Source organism: Homo sapiens, chromosome 4 (assembly GCF_000001405.40).
Source record: "Homo sapiens chromosome 4, GRCh38.p14 Primary Assembly".
Taxonomy (NCBI): domain Eukaryota; kingdom Metazoa; phylum Chordata; class Mammalia; order Primates; family Hominidae; genus Homo; species Homo sapiens.
The window spans coordinates 48,711,641-48,737,692 of NC_000004.12; the positions used below are offsets into that span (position 1 = coordinate 48,711,641).

General features: G+C 39.7%; 1 protein-coding gene across 5 annotated transcripts in view; it reads right to left on the reverse strand.

Annotated features, from left to right (window-relative positions):
* FRYL (FRY like transcription coactivator) overlaps positions 1-26,052 on the reverse strand; it is a 282,923-nt gene that overhangs the window by 214,284 nt on the left and 42,587 nt on the right. The gene's annotated exons all lie outside the window — the stretch shown is intronic.

Here is a 26,052-nt window from a genome sequence, read left to right on the forward strand (position 1 = left end):
CAGACAAACAAAAAGACAGCAGTAACCTCTGCAGACTTAAATGTCCCTGTCTGACAGCTTTGAAGAGAGCAGTGGTTCTCCCAGCATGCAGCTGGAGATCTGAGAATGGGCAGACTGCCTCCTCAAGTGGGTCCCTGACCCCTGACCCCCCGAGCAGTCTAACTGGGAGGCACTGCCCAGTAGGGGCAGACTGACACCTCACACGGCCGGGTACTCCTCTGAGACAAAACTTCCAGAGGAACGATCAGACAGCAGCATTTGCGGTTCACGAAAAACCGCTGCTCTGCAAACACCGCTGCTAATACCCAGGCAAACAGGGTCTGGAGTGGACCTTTAGCAAACTCCAACAGACCTGCAGCTGAGGGTCCTGTCTGTTAGAAGGAAAACTAACAAACAGAAAGGACATCCACACCAAAAACCCATCTGTGCATCACCATCATCAAAGACCAAAAGTAGATAAAACCACAAAGATGGGGAAAAAACAGAGCAGAAAAACTGGAAACTCTAAAAAGCAGGGCACCTCTCCTCCTCCAACGGAACGCAGTTCCTCACCAGCAATGGAACAAAGCTGGGCAGAGAATGACTTTGACGAGTTGAGAGAAGAAGGCTTCAGACGATCAAACTACTCCGAGATACAGGAGGAAATTCAAACCAAAGGCAAAGAAGTTAAAAACTTTGAAAAAAATTTAGAGGAATGTATAACTAGAATAACCAATACAGAGAAGTGCTTAAAGGAGCCGATGGAGCTGAAAGCCAAGGCTCGAGAACTACATGAAGAATGCAGAAGCCTCAAGAGCCGATGCGATCAACTGGAAGAAAGGGTATCAGCGATGGAAGATGAAATGAAAGAAATGAAGCGAGAAGGGAAGTTTAGAGAAAAAAGAATAAAAAGAAATGAACAAAGCCTCCAAGAAATATGGTACTGTGTGAAAAGACCAAATCTACGTCTGATTGGTGTACCTGAAAGTGATGGGGAGAATGGAATCAAGTTGGAAAACACTCTGCAGGATATTGTCCAGGAGAACCTCCCCAATCTAGCAAGGCAGGCCAACATTCAGATTCAGGAAATGCAGAGAACACCACAAAGATACTCCTCGAGAAGAGCAACTCCAAGACAACTCCAAGACACATAATTGTCAGATTCACCAAAGTTGAAATGAAGGAAAAAATGTTAAGGGCAGCCAGAGACAAAGGTCGGGTTACCCACAAAGGGAAGCCCATCAGACTAACAGCGGATCTCTCAGCAGAAACTCTACAAGCCAGAAGAGAGTGGGGGCCAATATTCAACATTTTTAAAGAAAAGAATTTTCAACCCAGAATTTCATATCCAGCCAAACTAAGCTTCATAAGTGAAGGAGAAATAAAATACTTTACAGACAAGCAAATGCTGAGAGATTCTGTCACCACCAGGCCTGCCCTAGAAGAGCTCCTGAAGGAAACACTAAACATGGAAAGGAACGACCGGTACCAGCCGCTGCAAAATCATGCCAAAATGTAAAGACCATCGAGACTAGGAAGAAACTGCATCAACTAACAAGCAAAATAACCAGCTAACATCATAATGACAGGATCAAATTCACACATAACACTATTAACTTTATTTGTTAATAAAGTTAATTTAAATGTAATAAAGTCCATTTAAATGTAAATGGACTAAATGATCCAATTAAAAGACACTGACTGGCAAATTGCATAAAGAGTCACGACCCATCAGTGTGCTGTATTCAGGAAACCCATCTCACGTGCAGAGACACACATAGGCTCAAAATAAAGGGATGGAGGAAGATCTACCAAGCAAATGGAAAACAAAAAAAGGCAGCGGTTGCAATCCTAGTCTCTGATAATACAGACTTTAAACCAAAAAAGATCAAAAGAGACAAAGAAGGCCATTACATAACGGTAAAGGGATCAATTCAACAAGAAGAGCTAACTATCCTAAATAGATATGCACCCAATACAGGAGCACCCAGATTCATAAAGCAAGTCCTGAGTGACCTACAAAGAGACTTAGACTCCCACACATTAATAATGGGAGACTTTAACACCCCACTGTCAACATTAAACAGATCAATGAGATAGAAAGTTAACAAGGAAACCCAGGAATTGAACTCAGCTCTACACCAAGCAGACCTAATAGACATCGACAGAACTCTCCACCCCAAATCAACAGAATATACATTTTTTTCAGCACCACACCACATCTATTCCAAAATTAACCACATAGTTGGAAGTAAAGCTCTTCTCAGCAAATGGAAAAGAACAGAAATTATAACAAACTATCTCTCAGACCACAGTGCAATCAAACTAGAACTCAGGATTAAGAAACTCACTCAAAACCGCTCAACTACATGGAAACTGAACAACCTGCTCCTGAACGACTACTGGGTACATAACAAAATGAAGGCAGAAATAAAGATGTTCTTTGAAATCAACGAGAACAAAGACACAACATACCAGAATCTCTGGGACACATTTAAAGCAGTGTGTAGAGGGAAATTTACAGCACTAAATGCCCACAAGAGAAAGCAGGAAAGATTCAAAATTGACACCCTAACATCACAATTAAAAGAACTAGAAAAGCAAGAGCAAACACATCCAAAAGCTAGCAGAAGGCAAGAAATAACTAAAATCAGAGCAGAACTGAAGGAAATAGAGACACAAAAAACCCTTAAAAAAATTAATGAATCCAGGAGCCGGTTTTTTGAAAGGATCAACAAAATTGATAGACCGCTAGCAAGACTAATAAAGAAAAAAAGAGAGAAGAATCAAATAGACACAATAAAAAATGATAAAGGGGATATCACCACCGATCCCACAGAAATACAAACTACCATCAGAGAATACTACAAACACCTCTATGCAAATAAACTAGAAAATCTAGAAGAAATGGATAAATTCCTCGACACATACACCCTCCCAAGACTAAACCAGGAAGAAGTTGAATCTCTGAATAGACCAATAACAGGAGCTGAAATTGTGGCAATAATCAATAGCTTACCAACCAAAAAGAGTCCAGGACCAGATGGATTCAAAGCCGAATTCTACCAGAGGTACAAGGAGGAACTGGTACCATTCCTTCTGAAACTATTCCAATCAATAGAAAAAGAGGGAATCCTCCCTAACTCATTTTATGAGACCAGCATCATCCTGATACCAAAGCCGGGCAGAGACACAACCAAAAAAGAGAATTTTAGACCAATATCCTTGATGAACATTGATGCAAAAATCCTCAATAAAATACTGGCAAACCGAATCCAGCAGCACATCAAAAAGCTTATCCACCATGATCAAGTGGGCTTCATCCCTGGGATGCAAGGCTGGTTCAATATATGCAAATCAATAAATGTAATCCAGCATAAAAACAGAACCAAAGACAAAAACCACATGATTATCTCAATAGATGCAGAACAGGCCTTTGACTAAATTCAATAACCCTTCATGCTAAAAACTCTCAATAAATTAGGTATTGATGGGACGTATCTCAAAATAATAAGAGCTATCTATGACAAACCCACAGCCCATATCATACTGAATGGGCAAAAACTGGAAGCATTCCCTTTGAAAACTGGCACAAGACAGGGATGCCCTCTCTCACCACTCCTATTCAACATAGTGTTGGAAGTTCTGGCCAGGGCAATCAGGCAGGAGAAGGAAATAAAGGGTATTCAATTAGGAAAAGAGGGAGTCAAATTGTCCCTGTTTGCAGATGACACGATTGTATATCTAGAAAACCCCATCGTCTCAGCCCAAAATCTCCTCAAGGTGACAAGCAAATTCAGCAAAGTCTCAGGATACAAAATCAATGTACAAAAATCACAAGCATTCTTATACACCAATAACAGACAAACAGAGAGCCAAATCATGAGTGAACTCCCATTCACAATTGCTTCAAAGAGAATAAAATACCTAGGAATCCAACTTACAAGGGATGTGAAGGACCTCTTCAAGGAGAACTACAAACCACTGCTCAATGAAATAAAAGAGGATACAAACAAATGGAAGAACATTCCATGCTCATGGGTAGGAAGAATCAATATCGTGAAAATGGCCATACTGCCCAAGGTAATTTATACATTCAATGCCATCCCCATCAAGCTAGCAATGACTTTCTTCACAGAATTGGAAAAAAACTACTTTAAAGTTCATATGGAACCAAAAAAGAGCCCGCATCGCCAAGTCAATCCTAAGCTGAAAGAACAAAGCTGGAGGCATCATACTTCCTGACTTCAAACTATACTACAAGGCTACAGTAACCAAAACAGCATGGTACTGGTACCAAAACAGAGATATAGACCAATGGAACAGAACAGAGCCCTCAGAAATAATGCCGCATATCTACAACTATCTGATCTTTGACAAACCTGAGAAAAACAAGCAATGGGGAAAGGATTCCCTATTTAATAAATGGTGCTGGGAAAACTGGCTAGCCATATGTAAAAAGCAGAATCTGGATCCCTTCCTTACACCTTATACAAAAATCAATTCAAGATGGATTAAAGACTTAAACGTTAGACCTAAAACCGTAAAAACCCTAGAAGAAAACCTAGGCATTACCATTCAGGACATAGGCATGGGCAAGGACTTCATGCCTAAAACACCAAAAGCAATGGCAACAAAAGCCAAAATTGACAAATGGGATCTAATTAAACTAAAGAGCTTCTGCACAGCAAAAGAAACTACCATCAGAGTGAACAGGCAACCCACAAAATGGGAGAAAATTTTCGCAACCTACTCATCTGACAAAGGGCTAATATCCAGAATCTACAATGAACTCCAACAAATTTACAAGAAAAAAACAAACAACCCCGTCAGAAAGTGGGCGAAGGACATGAACAGACACTTCTCAAAAGAGGACATTTATGCAGCCAAAAAACACACGAAAAAATGCTCACCATCACTGGCCATCAGAGAAATGCAAAAACCACAATGAGATATCATCTCACACCAGTTAGAATGGCAATCATTAAAAAGTCAGGAAACAACAGGTGCTGGAGAGGATGTGGAGAAATCGGAACACTTTTACACTGTTGGTGGGTCTGTAAACTTGTTCAACCATTGTGGAAGTCAGTGTGGCGATTTCTCAGGGGTCTAGAACTAGAAATACCATTTGACCTGGCCATACCATTACTGGGTATATACCCAAAGGACTATAAATCAAGCTGCTATGAAGACACATGCACATGTATGTTTATTGTGGCACTATTCACAATAGCAAAGACTTGGAACCAACCCAAATGTCCAACAATGATAGACTGGATTAAGAAAATGTGGCACATATACACCATGGAATACTATGCAGCCATAAAAAAGGATGAGTTCATGTCCTTTGTAGGGACATGGATGAAATTGGAAATCATCATTCTCAGTAAACTATCGCAAGAACAAAAAACCAAACACCACATATTCTCACTCTTAGGTGGGAATTGAACAACGAGAACATATGGACACAGGAAGGGGAACATCACACTCTGGGGACTGTTGTGGGGTGGGGGGAGGGGGGAGGGATAGCACTGGAAGATATACCTAATGGTAGATGACGAGTTAGTGGGTGCAGTGCACCAGCATGGCACATGTATACATATGTAACTAACCTGCACATTGTGCACATGTACCCTAAAACTTAAAGTATAATAATAAAAAAAAACAAAAAAACATTATGCTAACTGAAAGAAGCCACTCACAAAAGGCCACGTAGTATATGATTCCATTTATATGAAATGTCCATAATAGACAAATCTAACAAAGAGAAACCACGTAAGTGGTTGCCTAGGGCCAGGAGACAAAAGATAGGTGGTGACTATTAATGGGTACAGGGTTTCTTTCAGAGGGTGATGAAAATGTTCTCAAAATCTATTATAGTAATGGTTTTGCAATTCTGTGAATATAAAAAAGGCTCTAATTGTACACTTTATTTATTTGAAAAGGGGTTTGACTCTGTCACCTAGGCTGGAGTGCAATGACGCAATTATAGCTCACTGCAGCCTCAAACTCCTGTGTTCAAGCAATCCTCCTGCCTCAGCCTCCAGGGTACCTAGAAGTGCAGGAGCATGCCACCATGTCTGACTAATTTTTTTAATTTTTTGTAGAGATGGGGTCTTGTTGTGTTGCCCAGACCAGTCTCTATTTCCTGGCCTCAAGTGTTCCTCCTCCCTCACATTCCAAAGTACTGGGATTTCAGGCATGAGCTATCACGCATGGCCTTAAGTTGTACATTTTCAATTGGTGACTTGCACGGCATGTGAATTATATCTCAATAAAGCTGCTACTTTTTAAAAACTACAGTCTATAACTTCCTAACTACTAACCAATATCTGACATATTATTCTACATCACCTTATAACTCCATATAATGAGAAAAGCATTGAATTCAGTGATAAAACCAGATTACTGGCAATCCTAAAACCGTAGACAAGCAACAAGTTCTGAGCTTCAATTTCCTTGTAGGGGAAAGGGGAGTCCTCTCTGGTACACCATCTTATTTTTATCCCAATAACAGAGTTGCATCCTAGAGTAAATTGTGTTTATTCTAAAATCAGTTTATGTCTGTTGTATTTACTATAATTACATAGTTTAGTTGCATATTACATCAAAAATGAGTGCAAAAACAAAATGCTTTGTCTCTAAACATTAAATCATGTAATTTAATTAAGGCAAGCCACTTTAAAAACATTTTAAAGAAAATGTCTTGGCTATACATCAAAAGACTGGTGAAATATAAGCATTCATACACGTATAAATATTTAAGGTATGTATCTTTCTTTCTCATTTTAAACAAATATTCTATTTAGCCAACCCAACTGCAGGTATATTATATAGCCAATATTGTTTAAGAGAACTTCTACTCTATACGTTAGTTGTATAAAAGATGAACATAAGTACACTACTATTATTCCATGTCACACTCTAAAGTGTGAAAATTGACCCTATTAAATTTGAATTCTCTCTTACAGAGGTTGAGACTTGTCTACTCTTCAAGTCCCCAGGCCCACTACAGTCCCATACTCTCTACAGACACCTTCAACTGCTTAAACTGAAAAAGGTTGCCCAATGTCAACCCTTCAAATTCAAGACTGCTAAAGTCCCTCCTTCTTGTGCTCATAGGCTCTATGTGTGAAGCATTTTTTTTCACATATCTCTCAGAATCCTCCCTTTTCAAAGCTAATCCTACATCTGACCTACCTATTCAGGTGACCATTATGCTCCCCCAACACACAAAAAAAGTATTACTTACACTCATGCTCCATAGACTCCTCCCTTCCACTTCATTTCCACTTACATTTGTGCTTCTCCCTTCTCACCTCTCAACTTACTCCTGAACTATCAGCCATTTGCACTCTGACCCCAACTACTTTCTAATGACTGCAAAAGAATTCCGAGTGGTCACTCTAACTGATCTTTGGCCTCCCCTCTCTCACTACTCCAATGCATCTCAGATATTGCTTCCTAGCGCATAACTCTGATCACAAAACCCCCAGGCTTGGTAATTCAATGGTGTCTCCCAGTGCCTACAGAAAACAGTTCAGGAATTCATTAACCTCATCAAGATTCTAATGGAAGAGACTAAACTGCCAGCCCATCTCCTGAATGTTATCCAGACTTCAGTCAGGCTGAACTCTTTGCTCTGTGCAAATGTATCCCATGCCTTCCTACACACAGATCTAACGCATGCTTTATTCCATGTGGAATGCCCTCCCTTCGTTTCTATGTATTGAAATTCCTCTAAAATCATTTTTAAAGTAGAAAGTCACTTACCACTCAGAGCCTCACGTTTCTCAACTATAAAATGAGAATAACACCTTCAAGGCTGCTATATAAAGATGACAAACCATTATTAGTATCAAGTATTGTTAAGCATAAACTTAGAATAATTGCTGGTAGATAATACTCAACAAATGTTATTACTCTTGTTCACTAAAGACAATTAAGTGCCCAATAAATATATTATAAATTGACAAAACAAAACAACAGAAATATCTTTTCCAGCCACACTGTGCTCTTTGCTCACCAATCAACTGTTTAAGGTTTGACACCTCTGGAAGTTAAGATGATAAAAATTCCTAATAACGTTTTCATTTTGTGGGACTCTCACATAGATTCATGATGCAAGAACAACCACCCTCTATTTCCTGATTTTGTCAGGAACAACTTGATTCACTGATATCTACCAAAATGGGAAGAGTGGAGCAAGGTAATAATTTTATCACTGACTTTTTAAAAAATTGCACTAAAGGCCGGGTGTGGTGGCTCACGCCTGTAATCCCAGCACTTTGGGAGGCTGAGGTGAGTGGATCACGAGGTCCGGAGATCGAGACCATCCTGGCCAACATGGTGAAACCCTATCCCTACTAAAAATACAAAAATTAGCTGGGTGTGGTGGCGTGCACCTGTAATCCCAGCTACTTGGGAGGCTGAGGCAGGAGAATGGCTTGAACCTAGGAGGTGGAGATTGGAGTGAGCCAAGATTGTGCCACTGCACTCCAGCCTGGTGACAAAGAGAGACTCCATCTCAAAAAAAAAAAAAAATCAGGAAAATACATATAATTTACCATCTTAACCATTTTAAAATGTACATTAAGGCTGGGCATGGCGGCTCATGCCTGTAATCCCAGCACTTTGCGAGGCCGAGGTGGGGAGATCATGAGGTCAGGAGTTCAAGACTAGCCTGGCCAACATGACAAAACCCGGTCTCTACTAAAAATACAAAAAATTAATCAGGCATGGTGGCATGCACCTGTAATCCCAGCTACTCAGAAGGCTGAGGCAGGAGAACTGCTTGAACCCGGGAGGTGGAGGTTGCAGTGAGCTGAGATCACGCCACTTCACTCCAGGCCTGGGCAACAGAGCAAGACTCCATCTCAAAAAATAAAATAAATAAATAAATAAAATTAAAATTTAAAAAAGGTGTACATTAAATACATTCACACTGTTGGGCAACCATCACCACCATCCACCTCCAGAACTCTTTTCATCTTACAAAACTGAAACTCTATACCCATTACAGTCAACCCATTCTCTCTGTCACAACCTGACAGTCACCATTCTATTTTCTGTCTCTATGGGCCTGACTACTCTAGGTACCTTATGTAAGTAAAATCAGACAATATTTGTTCTTTTGTAACTGGTTTATTTCACTAAGCGTGATGTCCTCAAGATTCATCTATGTTGTTATTTACTGTTTCCGTAAGAACTCCAAAACCACACAGGGACACAGTTTAAACATACTCTAGCTAAGATAGATTCTATGGCACTACACCATAGATTTGGAACACTCAAATTACAGAAAGAAAGGGAAAGGGAAAATAGCAGTACTTGATAATTAGGTATGTTGCCAGTTACTCTGCTAGGTGCATTTCACACAGAACTTATTAAGTCCAAACAGCTCTAAGGAGGTAGATGATTATCATTCCCAACTGACAAACGAGAAAAAGGTCCAGAAGAATATACAATAATAGCAAGTAGGCCTCCCATGTCACTATCCTATTTCCATTTTGTTTTCATTATAGAACTCATCACTATCTAACATATGCTTGGTTTTATATACTTATTTAATTCCTTATTACCTTTCTCCCTAACTAGAACGTAAACACCTATGGCCATTGTATCCTCTAACCAGCCCAGAATCAGAGAGGTAGAGAGTGGAGGGGCAGGAATGGGGAAGTACAAAACAAGTAATGTTATAAGGAAAATGTGCCACATGTGCACACTATATGTAGATTTTTTTTTTTTTTTAATGGTTGAGATTGGCTGGGCATGGTGGCTCACACCTGTAATCCTAGTACTTTGGGAGGCCAAGGCAGGATCACTTAAGCCCAAGAGTTTGAGACCAGCCTGGCAACATAGGGAGACCCCATCTCTATAAGAAGTAAAATAAATTAAAAAATAAAAGGTGGAAGTCATTACACTAGTGGAAGGGTCACATTTTTACAACAAAATTGTGTCTATGATATACACAGCTTAAAACTTGAACATCTTATCATCTCTAGCTGTTCTGAGATTCTTGCTTCCATACATACACTTGAGATGGAGTCTCACTCTGTCGCCCAGGCTGGAGTGCTGTGGCGCGATCATGGCTCACTGCAACTTCTGCCTCCCTGGTTCAAGCAATTCTCCCTGTCTCAGCCTCCTGAGTAGCTGGAATTACAGGCACCCGCCACCACACCCGGCTAATTTATGTGTTTTAGTACAGATGAGGTTTCACCATGTTGGCCAGGCTGGTCTTGAACTCCTGACCTTAGGTGATCCACCTGCTTCGGCCTCCCAAAGTGCTGGGATTACAGGTGTGAGCCACTGCACCCAGCCCATATGTACGTTTCTTAGATGCTCAGAAATGGGGAGGCTTTTTTATGGCCAAAGATACATTTAGATGGGTTTTTGTTCTGGTTTTTGGAGTGGGAAGTTGGGTAAAGCGTAGAAGATAAAATTCCTTGGTCTCCAGTGAGCCCAAATTCTATTATTATATCCTTGTCTTCTATGAATTTTTGTTGTTTTTAATCAAACTTTACCCGAGGAATTGTTCTCTGCCTTCTGGCTAAGATCAAGGGTAGTGCCTGAGGACTTTACTACTAAGGGTGAATTAACAATGGGAAGCAGATACTAAGTTGTGATAGTCTACTTACACCATAAATATATGCTCACTAGAATAGTAACTATATTTACCAAAATACAGATTTCCTTCCTCTGCTTCAGAATAAAAGTGAATATTCCTACTACCATGCATTGCTACATTTTCTGTTAACATTTGTTAAAACGTTTTATTAAAACCCAAGAAATTAATGACTGAATACACACTACTGACTTTCTCAAGCTATATTTTTCCATAATTTATATTAATAGCAACTACCTCTACAATTAGAGAAATCTGAAATGTTATGATGAGAAATCAGGATTTCTAAGGGCTTTCACTGAATAAATCCTCACTTGTAACATGTCTACATTTCCCATTAACTTATTGTTTTCATAATTTCTTCTGATCACAGTACAAAAAACGTTAGTAATAAAAGGAGTACTGTGTTCACAAAATAATGTTATCTTCACTGATGTAACAAAAAGTCAGTGGTTTCCTTTTTGTGGTAAACAATGGGCCTTGGGAAGCACATTCCTTGTTAAATGTCTTTTACATTTTTTATACACAATTGGTTCAACTTCCTAATAATCACCATTTACCAGAAATGTGAAAGATAAAAATCATCATGATACACAATAAGACTAAGCAAGCCAAAAGGAGAAAAATAAAAGAAAATTATAATGGCTCACTGAGGACAGTGGAGTAGGAAATACTTCCAGCTTACACCAATTCTCTCTTAATATTACCTTTTTAAACTGAGAATATCAGTTTCACGGTGACAAAAATCTCACATCTTTTTTTCTCTCCTCCTAAGGGATCATGCCATCAGCAAATTCAACTATCCTCCTGGACATCTAAAGGACCTCAAACCTAACAGGTTTTTTTTTGTTTGTTTTGTTTTGTCTAAAGGACCTCAAACCTAACAGGTTTTTTTTTGTTTGTTTTGTTTTGTTTTTGAGACAGGATCTTGCTTTGTCACCCAGGCTGGAGTGCAGTGGTGTGATCACAGCTCACTGCAGCCTCGACCTCCTGGGCTCAAGCGATCCTCCCACCTTAGCCTCCTGAGTAGCTGCAACTAAAGGCATATGGCACCATGCCTGGCTAATTTTTGTATTTTTAGTAGAGACAGAGTCTCACCATGTTGCCCAGGCTGGTCTCGAATGCCTGGCCTCAAGCAATCCACCCAGCTCAGCCTCCCAGAGTGCTGGGATTACAGCCATGAGCCACTGTTCCCAGCCTTAACTCTTAATATACCAAAATCTTTGCCTGCTCCCAGTCTTGCTCCTTACTAAACTCCTTACTAAATAATACCATCCTTATTTTAGTTGCTAATGCCAAAAACCTAGCAGTCACATGTATTTCCTTTCTTTCCTTCACATCCCCACATCTAATCCAACAACAAGTTCTGTCAACCCTATTTTCAAAATACTGTATATCCTAACTCAGACCATTTATCTCCAAATCCACTGCTGCTACTCTAGACAGAATCACCATTATCTCTGCCCAAACAATTCAAGGAGACTCTTAGCTGATGATACTCCTGCATCTCCTCATTTCTCATTTCTCCACATAGTAACCAGAATGATCTTTTAAAAATATAGCCAGGCATGGTAGCTCACACCTGTAATCACAATACTTTGGGAGGCCAAGACAGGAGGACTGTTTGAACCCAGGAGTTTGAGACCAGCCCAGGCAATATAGTAAGACCCCAACTCTACAAAAAAAAAAATAAATAAAATAATAATAATAATAATAATAATAATAACAAAAAAAATTAGGTGGGTGTGGTGGCACACACCTGTAATCCCAGCTACTTGGGAGGTTGAGACAGGAGGGCTGCTTGAGCCCAGGAGGTCCAGACGTTAGTAAGCCATGATCCTGCCACTGTAATCCAGCCTGGGAGACAGAGCAAGACCCCATCTCAAAAAATAAATTGAAATTAAAATTAAAATTTAAAAATAAATGGAATATAAATGTATTCACTCCACCAATACTCAAAGTCCTCCACTAGTTTTACATAAAAGACAGGGGAAAAAGTCCATGGCCAAACATCTCTGACTTTTCCTTTCCCCTATTCCAGCCACACTAGTTTTCCTGCTATCCCTCAAACTCAAGTCTATTTCCATGTTGGGCCTGTGTGCTTGCTAACCCCTCTGCCTGGAAAGCTTTTCCCCTGGGCATGGCTTGCTCCCTCCCTTTGTTCAGATCATTGCAAATACTACCCTCCAAAGAGGACTTCCCACATACCCTATCTAAAATAACGGACACCATCACTCTCTAAGCAAACTTAATTTCTCATCATAGAGTTTATCATCCAATATTTGTTTACTGTTTGTCTACCCGACTAAAAAGCAAGCTCCAGGAGTTGGGTGCGGGGGGGCTGTCTTGTGGATATTTACAATCCCCAACATCATCTCCTGGGTCACAGGAACTCAATAAACATTTGTTGATTAAACAAACGGTGCCCCTGATAATAAATGACAAGAATCAAAGAAAAACACCAATATGCATACTTTCAAACAGTTTATTCAATAAAATGCGTATTAACAACTTCATAAATTTCCATCGTGCTGCCTTTAGAGGACTTTAGAGTAGGGTAGAATAATAGAGAAAGGGAGGGAAACTTGTTGCCTTCAGCACATAAATCCAATATATTTGAATATCTTATTTTACATCCATGTTGAGATGGAACCTAATGTCTCCAAAAAATAACAAATTTGAAACTGTTTTTATTCCTGTTAAATACTGGAATCAAACTTTATCCAAACAAGCTTAAAAGGAGAAGCAATATTCAGATGATAACCTAAGAATACACATTTGACTTAGCTCCCTGTTCCATTATCCCTCAAGATGATTAAATCAATATAAAAGAGAAAATTCAAGCATCATCAGAAATTAGAAAGGGGTCTCACCCTTCATCTGAAACTTCTGAATTTTCACAAAGGTATTTTGACATGAGACAAAAGAGAATCAATCTGCCCTTACATCGGCCATATCTGCTGTGCTCCATCCACTCCAAGAGCCTGCCTGCCAGTCTACTCCACTAAGGTGAGGCCCAGAAGAAAATGGCCCACACTTAATTGCTCCCCTCCATCAAATTCTCTGCACTAAATACCAACTGCAATCTTCAACAGACTCTGTCTATCCTCTGAGAGAAAGAGAGAATACAATCTCGTGTCAAGCTCTGATACAGCCTGTGCTATTTATCAACACTAAATAAAGTGTACAACCGTATCCCCTTATCCAGGTTTCATTTTTCAAGGTTTCAGTTAACCTCAGTCGACAATATTAAATGGAAAATTTCAGAAATAAACAATTCATAAGTTTTAAATAGCACATCATTCTCAGTAGCGTGATGAAATGTCACGCTGTCCTGCTCCATCCTGCCCACCCGGGACATGAATTATCCCTTTGTCCAGTGTGTCCACATCCACACTGTCTATGCTACCCACCCGCTAGTCACTTAGGAGCAGTCTCAGTTATCAGATCCACTCTCGCAGTATCACAGTGCTTGTGTTCAAGTAATCTTTATTTTACTTAACAATGGTCCCAAAGCACAAGAGTAGTGATGCTGGCATATTGTTATAATTGTTCTATCTTATTAACTATTGTTGTTAATCTCTTACTGCGCCTTATTTAGGAATTAAACTTTATCAGAGGTATGTATGTATGGGAAAAAAACATAGTATACATAGGATTTGGCACTATCTGAGGTTTCAGGCTTCCACTGGGGTCTTGGAACACATCTACTGAGGATAAGGGGAAACTACTATATAGGAAAAAAAATCACCAATCTTATGACACGAATTGGCAAATACAGAGGACTGGTGAAATTCTCAGAATTTCAGAGATAATGACCTTGAAATTCTTAACAAAGATGTGAAAGGCAAAACTACTTGCTTTTCTAAGATATAAGTTCTTTTTGTGGGGGTAGGTGGTGAGGTGGTCAGGCTTACCAAACCAGCACCTGCAATCAGGGTTAGAGATGACAAGACACTTTCAAGAAAACACGAAGCAAGTAATCAGAAAAATAAAGATACAGAGGCCATTAACAACATTATCCATTTTCCCTTCTCCTTCTGGGCATAATGAAGAATTTTACTTTCCTTTTCCCTGTTGAAGTTAGACACAGTCATGTGACTTCTGTTGGTCAATGAAATGTGAGGAGAAGTGACCTATAAATTTCCACAGATGCGGGCGGGTGCAGTGGCTCATGCCTGTAATCCCAGCACTTTGGGAGGCCGAGGTGGGTGGATCACTTGAGATCAGGAATTTGAGACCAGCCTGGCCAACATGGTGAAACCCTGTCTCTACTAAAAATACAAAAATTAGCCAGGCATGGTGGCGTATGCCTGTAATCCCAGCTACTAGTGAGGCTGAGGCATGAGAATTGCTTGAACCCGGGAAGCAGAGGTTGCAGTGAGCCGAGATCATGCCACAGCACTCCAGTCTGGGCGACAGAGCGAGACTCCATCTCCAAAACAAACAAACAAACAAACAAAAAACTTCCACAGATGCATTTAATTGTTGGGCTCTGAACCTCTCTCTTCTGCTGTCTCAGTAATTGATGACTCATAGTGCCTTTACAGGAAAGACAACTTTCCCTGAAAGGTACAAACTTGATATGAGTGAGAAATAATAATCTTTGTGTTTTAAGCGACTGATAATTGGAGGATTCTTTTCTTATTGCAGCATAAGCTAACCTACCTTGACTAGTATATTAGTTATTTGAAAATTCCAATAAAATTATCAAAATTCAGCAAATCAAGAAAATCTGACAGGGGCAGGTAGTTTAAGAGATGGACAGAAAAACATACAACTATGACATCAATAGTGAGAAATGGATTATAACTACAGAAATAAAGGTTTTTTTAATGGAATGTGCCTTTGGAATCAGTAATCTCATCTCAATTTTTAAAGATTTTTAAATAGCAGGCTACCTCTGCAAGGATGCACTAAAACTTATAATACTGTTTGCCTCCAGAAAGGAATACTGTATAGCAACTTAAAAAAAAATGGGAAGAAGAGACGTCTGGTTTCTGATCTGACCTGAAAGAAGCTTGGAAGTCATCACTCCAAAATAAGTAAAAAGCGAACAAATTGAAAAAACAACAACAACAACTAATCTTAGCTCCTTAAAAGAAATGAGGTCATAAGGCAAACCACTGCCCCACTGCCCCCCAAATTGGAGGGACATACAGAAGGATACAGAGAATCACAACTTACCATAGTAGAAACCCATGAGCAGAAGGTTGAGGGAACCAGTGCAAGGGAAGAAAAACCTGACCTGTAATTGACAAATTGTTGGAGGATCAGTGTAAGAAAGTCTGAGAGTCAAAAACTCCAGGGAACCCAGTCAGAAGGGGCCTATCGCACTTTTTCTGACTTTTACCTCCAGGAGCTTGACCTAAGTTCTCACAGTGAATATCAGAAAAATCCCCCCTACTTCCAAAAGAGAGGAAAAACAACCATTTTGAAATGCACCACAACATTCTGTTTTTAACAAGGCTTGCCCTCAGGAGAAACTATTTAGCCAGAGACTAACTTGCTAACTACCCCTAACTAACTTGGGGGTAGGTTAATACCTAATCCCAGTCAGCCTTAGCCTTCCATGTGGAGGAAAAGAAATACCTAACTCTAGGCAGTTCTAGCCTTCCATGTGGCAGACAGGAAATACCCAACTCTAGCCTACTCTTAACTATACTGTCCCACCTAAGGGAGTACTGAGAAGCACTTGTGAAGCTGATAATCCAGAGGCACAGACTCACTAAAAGACTGAGATCTAATCAGAGGACTATAGAAGACCTCCCCTTCCTCCACACCTTGCCACCACATTATAAAACCCTATATTAAACAGCTCCTTTTACACAGTACATCATGTCCAGCTACAAAGAAAAGATCACAAGGCATACTAAAAGGCAAATAATGTAGTTTGAAAAGACAGAGCAAGCATCGGAACAAGACTTAGATATGGCAAGACATTGGAATTATCAGATCAGGAACTGAAAACAACTCTGATTAACATGCTAAGAGCTCTAATCAATAAAGCAGATGACATAGCAAAAAATATATATATCTGAGATTGAAGATATCTCAATAATAACCTCAAAAACTGGAAAGCAAAGAGTAAAAAGAGTGGGGGAAAAAAAAACAGAGGACGAAACACAAAACTCAAGAACTGTGGGACAATTACAAAGAGTGTAACATGTGTGAAATGGGAGTACCAGAAGGAAAGGAGAGGAACAGAAGAAATACTTAAAATAATAATGACTGAGAATTTCCCCCAAATTAATGTCAGATATCAAACCAGATACCCAGGAAGTTAAGAGAACACCAAGCAGGAGAGATGCTGAAAAAACAAAAAAAGCAAACAAAAAACCTACACTTAGACATGCCAAATCATACGCAACTACAGAAAATCTAAGATAAAGACAAAATCCTGAAAGAAGCCAGAAGATAAAAACACCATACCTATAGAAGAACAAAGATAAGATTTACATCCCCAGAATTTCTCCCCAGAAACCATGAAAGTAAGAAGAGAGGGTTGCTTCCAAGATGGACGAATAGTAACAGCTCTGGTCTGCAGCTCCCAGCAAGATCAACGCAGAAGATGGTGATTTCTGCATTTCCAACTGAGGTACCTGGTACATCTCACTGGGACTGGTTGGACAGTGGGTGCAGCCCACGGAGGGCAAGCCGAAGCAGGGCAGGTCGTCACCTCACCTGGGAAATGCAAGCGGTCAGGGGATTTCCCTTTCCTAGCCAAGGGAAGCCGTGAGTGACTGTACCTGGAGGCGCAGTACACTCTTGCCTAAATACTGTGCTTTTCCCACGGTCTTCGCAACTGGCAGACCAGGAGATCCCCTCCCGTGCCTGGCTCAGCAGGTCCCATGCCCACGGAGCCTTGCTCACTGCTAGCGCAGCAGTCTGAGATTGACCTGGGACGTGGGAGTTTGCTGAGGTGCATCTGCCACTGCTGACACTTGAGTAGGTGGTTCTATGCTCACAGTGTAAACAAAGTGGCAAGGAAGCTCCAACTGGGCGGAGCCCACCACAGCTCAGCAAGGCCTACTGCCTCTCTAGATTCCACATCTGGGGACAGGCCACGTCTGAATAAAAGGCAGCAGACAGCTTCTCCAGACTTAAATGTCCCTGTCTGACAGCTCTGAAGAGAGCAGCTGTTCTCCCAGCACGGTGTTCGAGCTCTGATAACGGACAGACTGCCTCCTCAAATGGGTCTCTGACCCCTGTGTAGCCTGACTGGAAGACACCTCTCAGTAGGGACTGACAGACACCTCATACAGGCGGGTGCCTCTCTGGGACGAAGCTTCTAGAGGAAGGATCAGGCAGCAATATTTGCTGTTCTACAGCCACCGCTGGTGAAACCCAGGCAAACAGGGTCTGGAGTGGACCTCCAGCAAACTCCAACACATCTGCAGCTGAGGGGCCTATTAGAAGGAAAACTAATAAACAGAAAGGAAGAGCATCAACATCAACAAAAAAGACATACCCACCAAAACCCCATCCGTAGGTCACCAACATCAAAGACCAAAGGTAGATAAAACCACAAAGATGGAGAGAAGCCACAGCAGAAAGGCTGAAAAGTCCAAAAACCAGAACGCCTCTTCTCATCCAAAGGAACACAACTCCTCGCCACCAAGGGAACAAAACTGGACAGAGAATGAGTTTGACAAATTGACAGAGGTAGGCTTCAGAAGGTCAGTAATAACAAACTTCTCTGAGCATGTTCTAACCCATCGCAAGGAAGCTAAAAACTTTGAAAAAAGGTTAGACGAATGGCTAATTAGAATAACCAGTGTAGAGAAGAGCTTAAATGACCTGATGGAGCTGAAAACCACAGCACGAGAACTTCATGAAGCATACACAAGCTTCAATAGCTGAGCCAATCAAGTGGAAGAAAGGATATCAGTGACTGAAGATCAAATTAATGAAATAAAGTGAGAAGACAAAATTAGAGAAAAAAAGAGTGAAAAGAAACGAACAAAACCTCCAAGAAAATATGGGACTATGTGAAAAGACCAAATCTGCATTTGATTGGTGTATCTGAAAGTGATGGGGAGAAGGAAACCAAGTTAGAAAACACTCTTCAGGATATTATCCAGGAGAACTTCCCCAACCTAGCAAGGCAGGGCAATCAAATTCAGGAAATACAGAGAACAACACAAAGATACTCCTCAAAAAGATCAACCCCAAGCCACGTAATTGTCAGATTCACCAAGGTTGAAATGAAGGAAAAAATGTTAAGGACAGCCAGAGAGAAAGGCTGGGTTACCCACAAAAGGGAAGCCCATCAGAATAACAGCGGATCTCTCTGCGGAAACCCTACAAGCCAGAAGACAGTGGGGGCCAATCAACATCCTTAAAGAAAAGAATTTTCAACCCAGAATTTCATATCCAGCCAAACTAAGCTTCATAAGTGAAGGAGAAATAAAATCCTTTACAGACAAGCAAATGCTGAGAGATTCTGTCACCACCAAGCCTGCCTTACAACAGCTCCTGAAGGAATCACTAAACACTAAATACCAGCCACTGCAAAACATGCCAAATTGTAAAGACCATCAATGCTATGAAGAAACTCCATCAATTAACAGGCCAAATAACCAGCTAGCATCATAATGACAGGATCAAATTCACACATAACAATATTAACCTTAAATGTAAATGTGCTAAATGCCCCAATTAAAAGACACAGACTGGCAAATTGGATAAAGAGTCAAGACCCCTCAGTGTGCTATATTGAAGAGAACCACATCACGTGCAACGCCACACATAGGCTCAAAATAAAGGGATGGAGGAAGATCTACCAAGCAAATGGAAAGCAAAAAAAAAAGCAGGGGTTGCAGTCCTGGTCTCTGATAAAACAGACTTTAAACCAACAAAGACCAAAAGAAACAAAGAAGGCCATTACGTAATGGTAAAGAGATCAATTCAACAAGAAGAGCTAAGTATCCTAAATACATATGCACCCAATACAGCAGCACCCAGATTCAAAAAGCAAGTTCTTAGAGACCTATCAAGAGACTTAAGACTCCCACACAATAATAATGGGAAATAAGAGAGGACACAAACAAATGGAAAAACATTCGACGCTCATGGATAGGAAGAATCAATATCATGAAAATGTCCTTACTGCCCAAAGTAATTTATAGATTCCATGCTATCCCCATCAAGCTACCACAGACTTTCTTCACAGAATTGGAAAAAACTACTTTAAACTTCATATGGAACCAAAAAGAGCCTGCATAGCCAAGACAATCCTGGGCAAGAAGAACAAAGCTGGAGGCATCAGGCTACCTGACTTCAAACTTTACTACAAGGCTACAGTAACCAAAACAGCATGGTACTGGTACCAAAACAGAGATATAGACCAATGGAACAGAACAGAGGCCTCAGAAATAACACCACACATCTACCACCATCTGATCTTTGACAAACCTGACACACACAAGCAATGGGGAAAAGATTCCCTATTTAATAAATGGTGTTGGGAAAACTGGCTAGCCATATGCAGAAAACTGAAACTGGGCCCCTTCCTTATACCTTATACAAAAATCAACTCGAGATGGATCAAAGACTTAAACATAAGACCTAGGACCATAAAAATCCTAGAAGAAAACCTGGGCAATACCATTCAGGACATAGGCATGGGCAAAATGTCTAAAACTCCAAAAGCAATGGCAACAGAAGCCAAAATTGACAAATGGGATCTAATCAAACTAAAGAGCTTCTGCACAGCAAAAGAAACTATCATCAGAGTGAGGCAACCTACAGAATGGGAGAAAATTTTTGCAATCTATTCATCTGACAAAGGGCTAATATCCAGAATCTACAAAGAACTTAAATAAATTTACAAGAAAAAAGCAAACAACCCCATCAAAAAATGGGCAAAGGATATGAACAGACACTTCTCAAAAGATGACACTTACGCAGCCAACAGACATTTGAAAAAATGCTCATCATCACAGGTCATTAGAGAAATGCAAATCAAAACCACAATGAGATACTATCTCACGCCAGTTAGAATGGTGATCATTAAAAAGCCAGGAAACAATAGATGCTGGAGAGGCTGTGGAAAAATAGGAATGCTTTTACACTGTTGGTGGGAGTATAAATTAGTTCAAGCATTGTGGAAGACAGGGTGGTGATTCCTCAAGGATCTAGTACTAGAAATACCATTTGACCCAGCAATCCCATTACTGGGCATATAACCAAAGGATTATAAATCATTCTACTATAAAGACACATGCACACATATGTTTACTGCAGCACTATTCACAATAGCAAAGACTTGGAACCAACCCAAATGTCCATCAATGATAGACTGCATAAAGAAAATGTGGCACATATACACCATGGAATACTCTGCAGCCATAAAAAAGGATGAGTTCATGTCCTTTGCAGGGACATGGATGAAGCTGGAAACCATCATTCTCAGCAAACTATCACAAGATCAGAAAACCAAACATCACATGTTCTCACTCATAAGTAGGAGATGAACAATGAGAACACATGGACACAGGGAGGGGAACATCATACACTGGAGCCTGTGGGGGGTGGGGGGCTAGGGGAGGGATAACATTAGAAGAAATATCTAATGTAGGTGACGGGTTGATGTGTGCAGCAAACCACCATGGAATGTGCGTACCTATGAAACAAAACTGCACTTTCTGCACATGTAACCCAGAATTTGAAGTATAACAATATTAAAAAAAAAAAAAGAAAGTAAGTAAGAAGAAAGTGGAATGAAATATTTAAAGTAGTGAGAAAAGGCCGGGTGTGGTGGCTCATGCCTGTAATCCCAGCACTTTGGGAGGCCAAGACAGGTGGATCACCTGAGATCAGGAGTTCGAGACCACCTGGCCAACATGGTGAAACCCCGTCTCTACTAAAAATACAAAAATTAGCTGGGCTTGGTGGTAGGCGCCTGTAATCCCAGCCACTCGGGAGGCTGAGGAAGAAGAATTGCTTGTACTCGGGAGGTGGAGACTGCAGTGAGCCAAGATCATGCCACTGCACTCTAGCCTGTGTGACAGAGCGAGACTCCATCTCAAGAAAAATAAAAAATAATGAGAAAAAAAAAAACCCCACCAGCCTAGAATTCTGTATCCTGTGAAATTATCCTTCAAAAGTAAAAAAGAAATAAAAACTTCCTCATAGAAACAAAAATTGACAGAATGTGTTGCTGGTGGACCTGCCTTGAAAGAAATGTTAAAAGAAGTTCTTTAAAAATAAAAATAAAAAAAGGAAAAGGAAAATTATATAGCTCAGAAACTCAGATCTGCAAGGAAAAACTCTGGAGAAGGAACAAGTGAAGGTAAATTAAAAACTTTTCTTTTTCTTACTCCTAATTAACTTACCAGGAAACAGTTGTTCAAAATAATAATAGCAACAATGTATTAAATTATATATGCATACATATGTGTCTATATACATATATACATATATATGTGCATGCTTATGTAGAAGTGACATGTATCAGCAATGATACAATGGAGAGGAGGGAGAAATTAGGATTATTTTATTATAATAAGGTACTCACACTACTGATGTATATTGCAAACTCTCAAGCAACCACTTAAAAGTAACACTATACCACTAACAACTTAAAAGTAACACTATACCACTAAATGCACATTGCAAACTCTCAGCAACCACTTAAAAAAGCAACAAAGGAATATAATTCACATATCAAAAAAGGAAAGAAAATGGAATCATATAAAATGCTCAATTAGAACCACAAAAGGCATAAAAAGAGTAGAAGACAAAAATAGGAACAAAGAACAAGGGCAACAAATAGAAAAGAATAACAAATATTGTAGATATTAAACCAACTACATCAATAATCACTCTAAACATCAATGGTCTAAATGCACTAATTAAAAGAAAGATTGTCAGAGTGGATCAAAAAAACAAGACATAACTATGTTGTCTACAAGAAACTCACTTTCAATATAAAGACACATATAGATTAAAAGTAAATGGATAAAGAAAGAGATGTCATGCTAACACTAATCAAAAGAAAGTGGGAGTAGCTATATTAATTTTAGACAGAGCAGACTTCAGAGCAAGGAAAGTTCTCAAAGATAAAGATTAGCATTACATAATGATAAATGGCCAATTATCCAAAAAGACATAACAATACTAAATGTGTGTGTGTGCCTAACAGAACATCAAAATGTGTGAGTGAAAAACTGATAGAATTACATGGAAAAATAGATGAATCCACTATTAGAGTTGTAGACTTCAACATTCCTCTATCAGAAGCAAACAGATCAGAATCAGAAGCAGTAAGGACATAGCTGAACTCAACAACACCATTAACCAAATGAATATAACTAACATCTATAGACTAATTCAACAACAGCAGGTTACACATTCTTCTCAAACTCACATGGAACAGTCACTAAGATAGAACACATTCTGGGCCATAAAACAAAATTAAAAGAATAAAAATACGTTTAAATCTTTAATCCATCTTGAATTGATTTTTGTATAAGGTGTAAGGAAGGGATCCAGTTTCAGCTTTCTACATATGGCTAGCCAGTTTTCCCAGCACCATTTATTAAATAGGGAATCCTTTCCCCATTGCTTGTTTTTCTCAGGTTTGTCAAAGATCAGATAAACCTAAAACCATAAAAACTCTAGAAGAAAACCTAGGCATTACCATTCAGGACATAGGCGTGGGCAAGGACTTCATGTCCAAAACACCAAAAGCAATGGCAACAAAAGACAAAATTGACAAATGGAATCTAATTAAACTAAAGAGCTTCTGCACAGCAAAAGAAACTACCATCAGAGTGAACAGGCAACCTACAACATGGGAGAAAATTTTCGCAACCTACTCATCTGACAAAGGGCTAATATCCAGAATCTACAATGAACTCAAACAAATTTACAAGAAAAAAACAAACAACCCCATCAAAAAGTGGGCGAAGGACATGAACAGACACTTCTCAAAAGAAGACATTTATGCAGCCAAAAAACACATGAAGAAATGCTCATCATCACTGGTCATCAGAGAAATGCAAATCAAAACCACTATGAGATATCATCTCACACCAGTTAGAATGGCAATCATTAAAAAGTCAGGAAACAACAGGTGCTGGAGAGGATGTGGAGAAATAGGAACACTTTTACACTGTTGGTGGGACTGTAAACTAGTTCAACCATTGTGGAAGTCAGTGTGGCGATTCCTCAGGGATCTAGAACTAGAAATACCATTTGACCCAGCCATCCCATTACTGGGTATATACCCAAAGGACTATAAATCATGCTGCTATAAAGACACATGCACACGTATGTTTATTCCGGCACTATTCACAATAGCAAAGACTTGGAACCAACCCAAATGTCCAACAATGATAGACTGGATTAAGAAAATGTGGCACATATACACCATGGAATACTATGCAGCCATAAAAAATGATGAGTTCATATCCTTGGTAGGGACATGGATGAAATTGGAAACCATCATTCTCAGTAAACTATCGCAAGAACAAAAAACCAAACACCGCATATTCTCACTCATAGGTGGGAATTGAACAATGAGATCACATGGACACAGGAAGGGGAATATCACACTCTGGGGACTGTGGTGGGGTCGGGGGAGGGGGGAGGGATAGCATTGGGAGATATACCTAATGCTAGATGACACATTAGTGGGTGCAGCGCACCAGCATGGCACATGTATACATATGTAACTAACCTGCACAATGTGCACATGTACCCTAAAACTTAGAGTATAATAAAAAAAAAAAAAAAAAAAAAAAAGAATAAAAATACACAATATCTGCTCTCAGACCACAATCGAATTAAACTAAAAATCAATAACAGAGAGACAGGTAGAAAAATCCCAAAATACTTGGAGATTAAACAACACACTTCCAAATGACAGATGGGTCAAAAAATAAATCTCAAGAGAATTTTTTAAATATTTTAACCACAATGAAAATGAAAATACAACATCAAAACTGTGGGATGCAACAAATGAAATGCTTAGGGGGAATTTTGCTGCCTTAAATACATACATAGAAAATGAGAAAAATCTAAAATCAGTAATCTAAGCTTCTACCTTAGGAAACTAGAAAAGGAAGAACAAATTAAATCCAAAGTAAAGAGAAGAAAAATAAAAATTAGAGTGGAAATCAACAAAATTGAAAACAGGAAATAGAGAAAACCAAAAGCTAGTTATTTGAGAAGATCAATAAAATTGATAAGCTTCTAGCAGGTTAACTAAGAAAAAAAGAGACATGACACAAACAACTAATATTAGAAAATGAAAGCAGAGACAATACTACAGATTCCATGAGCATTAAAAGGATAATAAAGAAATACTATAAACAGGCCGGGTACAGTGGCTCACATCTGTAATCCCAGCACTTTGGGAGGTCCAGGCAGGCGGATCACCTGAGGTCAAGAGTTCAAGACCAGCCTGGCCAACATGGTGAAACCCCGTTTCTACTAAAAATACAAAAATTAGTCAGGCATGGTGGCGAGCACCTGTAACCTCAGCTACTTGGGAGGCTGAAGCAGGAGAATCGCTTGTACCTAGGAGGCGGAGGTTGCAGTGAGCCAAGATCGCACCACTGCACTCCGGCCTGGGCGACAGACTGAGACTCTGTCTCGAAAAAAAAAAAAAAAAAAAAGAAAAAAGAAAAAGAAAGAAAGAAATACTATGAACAATGTGATCAATAAAACTGATAAGCTTCTAGCAGGTTAACTAAGGAAGAAAGACACAGGACACAAATTACTAATATTAGAAATGAAAGAGGTGGCCGGGCGTGGTGGCTCACACCTTTGATCCCAGCACTTTGGGAGGCTGAGGCAGGCGGATCATCTGAGGTCAGGAGTTTCAGATCAGCCTGGCCAACATGGCGAAACCCCATCTCTACTAAAAATACAAAAATTAGCCAGGCACACTACTCAGGAGGCTGAGGCACAAGAATCGTTTGAACCCTGGAGGCGGAGATTGCAGTGAGTCAAAGATCATGCCACTGCACTCCAGCCTGGGCCACAGAGCGAGACTCCATCACAGAAAAAAAAAAAAAAAAAAGAGAGAGAAAGAGGGGACAACCAATAGTACAGATTCCATAAACATTAAAAGAATAATTAAGGAATACTATGAACAATGCTTTGCTCATGAATTTGATAATTGAGATTAAATGAGCCAATTCCTTGAAAGCCATAATCTACCAAAATTCACACAAGAAGAAATAGGCAATCTTAATTGGCCTATATTATTAAAGAAATTGAATCAATAATAACCTTCCAAAAGAGAAAGCACCAGGTCCAGACACATTCACTGGTGAATTCTACCAAACTTTTAAAAAGACATTATACCAATTCTCTACAATTTCTTTCAGAAGATAGAAGCAGAGGAAATACTCCCAAACTCATTCTATGACGCTAGTATCACTCTAATACCAAAACCAGGAAACGACATTACAAGAAAACTACAGACTAATATC